This window comes from Homo sapiens, chromosome 13 (genome assembly GCF_000001405.40).
Source record: "Homo sapiens chromosome 13, GRCh38.p14 Primary Assembly".
NCBI classification, from domain to species: domain Eukaryota; kingdom Metazoa; phylum Chordata; class Mammalia; order Primates; family Hominidae; genus Homo; species Homo sapiens.
In genome coordinates, this window is record NC_000013.11 from 42,523,438 (window position 1) to 42,530,867 (window position 7,430).

The 7,430-nt window shown below is 41.3% G+C and overlaps 1 annotated feature.

The window, feature by feature from the left end:
• Positions 1,036-1,155: an enhancer, noted in NCBI's record as "active region_7651". NCBI's record gives its function as "activates an Ori minimal core promoter by ATAC-STARR-seq in GM12878 lymphoblastoid cells {active_cell/tissue: GM12878}" and the evidence as "EXISTENCE:reporter gene assay evidence [ECO:0000049][PMID:35858748]".

Consider the following 7,430-nt stretch of genomic DNA (forward strand, 5'->3'; position numbering starts at 1 on the left):
GTGGAGCAAAACCAAGATGGTGGAGATGTTGGCAAAATGGAATAAAACCAAGATGGTGGAGATGCTGATAAATGGAGCAAAATCAAGATGGTGGAGATGTTGATCTTCTAGCCATTCTCCACATTTATCCTACTTTAGTAGCTTTATTTTTCTCATATGCTCATGGATTTTTAAAATATACCTGCATTATCAAGATTTTTTTTCCAGAAAGAATCTGATAGATTAATTATCTCCACACTTTAGCCTTTAGCAGAAGTTAGGGATTGATAAACTGGCAGGGCAGGTGAGGATGGCTTGCCTCCAAAATGCTACCAGTCATAGGGGGCTCCCTTTCTTCTTGTAAGGAGAGTAACAATGGCTCTTTCTATTCCACCATTCTTGGAGAACAGTAATTTGTTGAAGAAAATGAAATGGAGTTTGTAGGTGAATGTGCATTTCAAGTTATAAATTAAAAAATAAAACTCTAGTACCACATAAGAGTTTTCTATGTATGTCTGTTTAAAGTCAAGAATAGCGGTGATATAATAACAATAATCCAAATTGATCAGCAGTTATAATTTTTCTCTTCTTTTGCTCTCCTCTACTGGGTGTCCCTGAACTCTGCTTCTTTGAACAATGTTGTTCACTCATCTGGATTAGCATAAAGACTCATTTTGGAAATTATATTCCACTATTGCTATTTGTTTTTACAGTTTTCAATTCAGCTCCTACTTAAGTTATTCAACATCACTACCATAGTTGATCTGTAATACCGAGAGCATGCACTCTCCATCAGTTAAAAAACAATGTCCTTGAAACATATATTAATCCATAGGTAGTAGAACATTAAAACATTTCTAATCCATTTCACTGAAGTTGCTGTGAACTGCAGCTCAACAAACAAGGAGGTTAGAACATCATAACTGATGGAGAAAACTCAACCCTGCCATTCCAGGTTGGTTGCAAGAATGCTGGGACGGGAAGCTCAGGGAAAGGAATCCAGAAGTTCAGCATGCAGCCTTGGTGTGGGTCAGGCACAGCCAACTGCTGAAGGTGTGTTTTGTGTCCAAGCTGGCAGGTTTACTAGGGTACGCCTCTTGAAGATGGTGGGTAGCCTGATTAGAGCCTAGAGTCAAGAATGTCAATGGGTTGGCCCTTCTGATGAGTTATAGTATCATGTCCCAGGAGAGCTAGATTTTCACGAACTCATTTCCTCAAATTCAAGGTTTTAGATAGTTTCTCTCCATGGCTATGAGGAAATGAAAATAATTAACTATGAAACAGTGACTTTGTCAGTCTTAGTGTTACTGCCATAAAACTTTCTGGCCATATGGGAGGAATTTGTTTCTCTGGTCTGATGTGGCCTGGTGTCAGCTGGAGGGGATCCATCTCAGCACTGATGTCACTCCTGGCCAGTTGTGTACTGTGTGCTTGGGTATCGAGTCATGGTCTGAAGTTCATCTTCATTGATCATCTCATAGTGAAGTTAATTATTTCTGAGACTCTGAAGTCATGGTCTGTTGTGAGTTCAATCAGGATGAAACTAGAATCATTAAAGAATGAGAGGGTTACTTTCTTCCTGCTGACTGGAGAGTGATTTTCAAACACTCCTTAGCAGTAGACTCTTTTGGTCAAACACACCTTTCTGCAGAATTCCAATATAGGAAATAGGTAAAAGTAGATGTTCTCTGGTACCCCTGGTGTCCAACCACAGACTTTACCCCCAGACACAGCATGAAGCCTGCTCAGGAAGAGATACCACTGACCAAAGTGGAAAATTCCTCTGCAAATTTGTACGGGAACAGAACTTGCTTGCACTGTGGTAGCACATGGAAAGAACCTGGCGACACTGAGGAATGTCATAGGAAGCAATTCTATGAAGCTTATTTCTGTGTTTACTGCAGGGATGTTGTCAAGGATGTGGTTGATGACATTCCACAGTGTTTCCTTTATGATGATCTGCTGAAGAAATTTTCCTCTCCCCTCAGGATGATGATTAACCACATTTCTCCTGAGCAGCTGGGCAGTTGACATCTTGTAGGTATTGTAAATTGTGGCCTGTCCCTATGTGTACCTATAGGGTAGGGTTCTCAAACCTTACTGCACACTGGAGTCATCTAGGGAGGTATTTAAATGCCAATTTCCAGGCTTACTCCAGACTAATTGCATCAGAATCTCAAGAGGGGGATCGACATCTTTAAAAAGTTTTCTGGGTGACCCAAAGAGTAGCCAGTTTTGAAAAAAACAAAAAAAAGGTTTATTTAATCAGGGAGCCTCTGAAGACACCTGGTTTCTGTTGAATATATCTTTTTTTTTTTAAATGAGAGGATATCCATGCATATGTATATATACATACTAGCTTATGATTATTAAATAAATGGTTAAAATAGTCATCTTCTTTTAGAGTAAAATTCAATTATTCTTATAGCTTCCTCCTGTAGTAAGGTGCTACTTAGGATTTTCCAAGAAGCAGACACCAAGTTGGAATTAGATGTGCAAGAAATTTACCAACAAGATGCCTGGGAGGGAAAATAGAGAGGAAGCTAGGAAGGGCTGTGACAGCTGATAGTGCCAGCTGTTGGTCTGAACTTTGGGAGGGAGAGAGTGAAGGAATAAGGGGTGGATGAGGAGTCCTAACTTGAGTGCAGTTGTAGGTAAGCCTGGCAAGGCTGATGGGGAGCCTTGAGTCAAAGTGATCAGTCAGAGAAGCTTGAGGCTCCCAGGGACGGGCCAGACTTAGGATCCTGCCGTTGTCTTAGCTATTGATGGGGAGCAACCGAGTAGGGTGATGTGGGGGCGTGAGGAGCTGGCCTTGTGCTAAGGCAATGGCGGGTTTCAGAGCGTAGCACTCGGGGCCAGCAATCCATGTGCTTGCTGTAGTTGCAGATCTGAGAAGCATGTTTTTCTGGCAGTCACAGTATATCACCTGAATTCCTTGCCCCCCCGATTCTTCCCATCATTTGTGTTTAGAAATAGCAAAGGATTGTGAGGAGTGAGGATGTGTGACACGAGGATGAAAGAAAGCAGCAGGGTCAGGAGAGTGGCAAATGGGGCTTTGTGAAGGTTGCTGCAGGGCATTAGATGGAGAATTAGTCCTGGTTCAGCAACAGATCAAAGAGAAAGAGGCAGGGTGGGGGCAGGAACAACTGGGAGAGGAGTGAGTAAAAAATTTGGAGCAGGAGTGAATAGACTGCTGGTTAGACCTTAGCAGAGAAAGATTAAAGTGTGGGTGTTACTTGCTCATAAGAAATAGACGCATATTTTCACCTAAGGGTGGCTACCTCGCCCCATCCAGCAAGGCACATTTCAGCTTTAATATGAAGAAACACACGTGATTTCTTTAGCATAGTGGTTTTCTTTCCTGGTCTTATGTTAGAATCATTTGGAGATCTGAAATATACAAATATCTGAAACTTTAACAGAATAATTAAATGAGAATTTTTGAGGGCAAGTGCAGATATCAGCATTTTTTAAAAGCACCTCTGGTGGTGCCAATGTGCAGCCCAAGTTTAGCTGCTTTACCAAATGGGTCTAAAAACTATTAACAGAGCCTGTGAAGGACCCATGAATAAAATATGCATTTATTCACATAAATCTCTGAGAATAATTCGAGGGTACATGCATTGCATAAGATGCTTCAAAGTGCTAAGATTTGTAAACATTTAAATCATCCATGAAAATTGTGTTTTCAGCCTGACTCTCCCTGTTTGCATCAAAGACCATGATAAAAACGTTATCTGCTCTGTCACATCAAAATTATGGATAGAACCGCTTCCCATTCCCTCTCACACACTTCTTTTGGAGGCAGAGTGAAAACGGGTTTCCATTCTTAACAGGTCAAAACAGATCTGAAGCAAGAATGTATAGGCCCACTGCACACACAGCAGAAGGCAACTCCTGCCTGAGGGTTCACTGTAACAATCATTCATTAAATACTTACCCTGTGCTTGGGGGACACTGAAGCAGATATGTCATAGGACAGGATGACTACTGGTACTCCTAGGACACCCAGACCCAGCCCTGCTTGAGAATGGGGAGGTCTGAAGATACAGATCCTAAAAAGGTGGGGCCTTCATAGTGGAAAGAGGAACGCCATTTGGATAGACATGAACCACCCAGGAGGCAGTCGTACATTGACTGAAGGACTAGTGGCAACGGTGGGGTAATTTCGTTTTCAGTATAAATCAGCAGTCATTAATTAATGAAGAACTTCTTATGTGATAGACACTGCAGGATGCTATGGAAATTTGTCTCACCTACTTTTTGAGGGTTCTCTGGTGCTGGCTTCTCCTCTTCCCTGACATGTTTCTGTGGTAGGCAGAATAATGGCTCCCACCTCACAAATGTCCTAATCCTCTAGGCCTGTGACTGAGTTTCATTATGTGGCAAAAGGAACTTTGCAGATGGGATTCAGTTAAAGACTTTGAGATGGGCTTATTCAGGTGGGCTCAATCTAATCACCTGTGTCCTTAAAAAAGGAAAACCCAGCTGGGCACGCTGGCTCATGCCTGTAATCCCAGCACTTTGGGAGGCTGAGGCGGGCGGATAACCTGAGTTCAGGAGTTTGAGACCAGCTGGACCAACATGGAGAAACCCTGTCTCTACTAAAAATACAAAATTAGCTGGGTGTGGTGGCGCACACCTATAGTTCCAGCTACTTGGGAGGCTGAGGCAGGAGAATCACTTGAACCTGGGAGGCGGAGGTTGCAGTGAGCCGAGATCGTGCCATTGCACTCCAGCCTGGGTAACAGGAGCGAAACTCCTCTCCAAAAAAAAAAAAAAAAAAAAGGAAAACCTTTCCTGGTTATAGTCGGAGAGGGGAATGTGACCAGGGAGGCAGATCAGAGAGATGGCAGTGTGACCGACCATGGCCGGCTTTGAAGGAAGGAGTCAAGAGCCAAGAAGTGCAGGCAGTTCCTAGAAACTGAAAAAAAGCCAAGAAAATCCTTCCATGGAGTTTCCAGAAAGGAACGCAGTCCTGATGACACGTTGTCTGTAGTCCAGTGAGACATATCTCAAATCTGACCTACAAAACCATAAGGTAACAAGTTTGTGTTGTGATAGGCCACTAAGTTTCTGGTAATTTGTTACAGCAGCAACAGGAAACACATATAATCCCTGAAGGATCTCAAATCCATTTGTAGCAAGAAGAGACATGCTGCTTAATTTCTTTCGGTTTTATTTTTAAAACTTTTGATTTTGAGATAATTTTAGAATTACAGAAGAGTTGCAAAATCAGAACAGAGTTTCCATATACCCTTCATGCAGTTTTCCATAATGTTAACATCATACATACTAGTAAATTGATCAGTATTAAGAAATTAATACTGATTCAATACATTTAACTAAACTATAGACTTTATTCATATTTTACCAGATTTTCCACCAAAGGTCTTCTCTTTTTTTCTGTCCCAGGATCCCCCTTTGCATTTAGTTGTCTATCTCCTTAGTTTCCCTCAATCTGTGATAGTTTCTCAGACTTTCCTTGTCTTTCAGAGCCTTCGCACTCCTGAAGACTACTGCTGTTTGGTAAAACGTTCCTCAGTTTGGGTTTGTTTGGAATTTTCTTTCTTTCTTTCTTTCTTTTTTTTTTGAGACAGAATCTCGCTCTGTCACACAGGCTGGAGTGCAGTGGCGTGATCTCGGCTCACTGCCAGCTCTGCCTCCCGGGTTCATGCCATTCTCCTGCCTCAACCTCCCGAGTAACTGGGACTACAGGGGCTCGCCACCACACACAGCTAATTTTTTGTAGTTTTAGTAGAGACAGGGTTTCACCCTGTTAACCAGGATGGTCTCGATCTCCTGACCTTGTGATCTGCCCGCCTCGGCCTCCCAAAGTGCTGGGATGACAGGCATGAGCCACCGCACCCGGCCTGGAATTTTCTCGTGATTAGATTGAAGTCATGTATTATTGGGGAGGTATCACAGGGACGTGTATCTTTCTCAGTGCATCACCAGAGGTACCTGATGTTCACTTGCCTTGTTACTGATCATGTTAACCTTGATCACCTGGCTAAAGGTTTTTCCAATGTAAAATTTCCATCTCTCCCTTTAAAATTACTATGTGTATATTTTGGAAGATATGCTTTGAGACTATACAAATAACCTTAAACATTTGCTCACTAATTTTATCATCCGTTAACAAATCTTGCCCTCACCAATTTCCACTGTGCTGTAATTGTGGGGACTTTCTAGTTTCCTTGCTCCTTCTACATTTACTAGTGGGAGTCTGTAAAGAAAAGTTATTTCTTCTCTGCCTTTTATTTATTCAGTTATTATTTATATCAGTATAGACTTACAGACTCAAGGATATTTATGTTATCCTTTGGGTTATGATCTAATGCTATCATCATTCTGTGGCTCTGTTTTGCATTTGGCCATTGGGAGTTCTTTCAGGTAGGTTTCTGTGCCCTTTCAAAATGTCCACGTCCCCCCTCTCTCCGTGCCTTTTTTTTTTTTTTTGAGTACTGCTCATTTTATATTTTCCCTGTCCCAGCCCTGAAATCAACCACTTTTCCAAGGAGCACCCTGTTTCTTTTTATTGGGGAATAGCATTTAGAAACCAAGATCTGAGCATCAGATGAGCTCATTGCTAATGGAGTGTCACGCTTTCAGGCCCTCCCAGCAGACAAAACTCGAGATATATGTATGTTTACTAACCCAATCCCCCTCACACACATTATATATGTGTATATATATATCTGCATCTATCTATGCATATATATGTATTTTAAAAATCAGCTCACACTGATTTTTCCAACTTCAATCCCACACCACAAGGTTCATTTTAAACTTCTTTTTATTTATTTCAAATTTTTGTCTCCAATTTTGAGAAGCCTGGCTCTCATTATCTATAGTATGTTTGCTTATTAGCTCATCCCTATTATGCTTACAAAATTGTTTCAGAATTGTGAAACCTCCTCACTGTGGGGAAAAAATTTACCAGCTAGACTGTAGTGTTTGTGTGCAGTTCTTTTCATATTTAGCTTAACAGACTCCAGTCAAAATATTTTTAAAAAGATACTTAGGTTAATTGCTTTCTTCTCCGTTGCTTGTTTTTAAAATCTTCATTCTTGCAACTTTTCTAGTATTTTAAAATGTGAGATGAATTGAAATTCATTCACTTTCAAGTGCTCAACTCGAAAACATCTTTTTGGAGTAGGAATAGTTCTTTTGCATCTACTCTAACTTTAACTCAGAGAATGGAGTTAGAAAGCTGTGGCTTTAACACTTTGACATTCAATCCCTTTGGCCTTGTTGGGGGGCATTCATTCTGTAATATAAATTTAATAAATCACTGTGCAGCACTTACCAATCCTGGATAGCGCTGGCAATTCCAACCTTACATGGTTATTTGCCACATGTGTGTTTCTCACTCTTCCAGCTAGCTTACAGGCTTCCTGAAGGTCCTGAAAGAACTAATTCCATCTTTCCATCCTTTTAGCAGACTA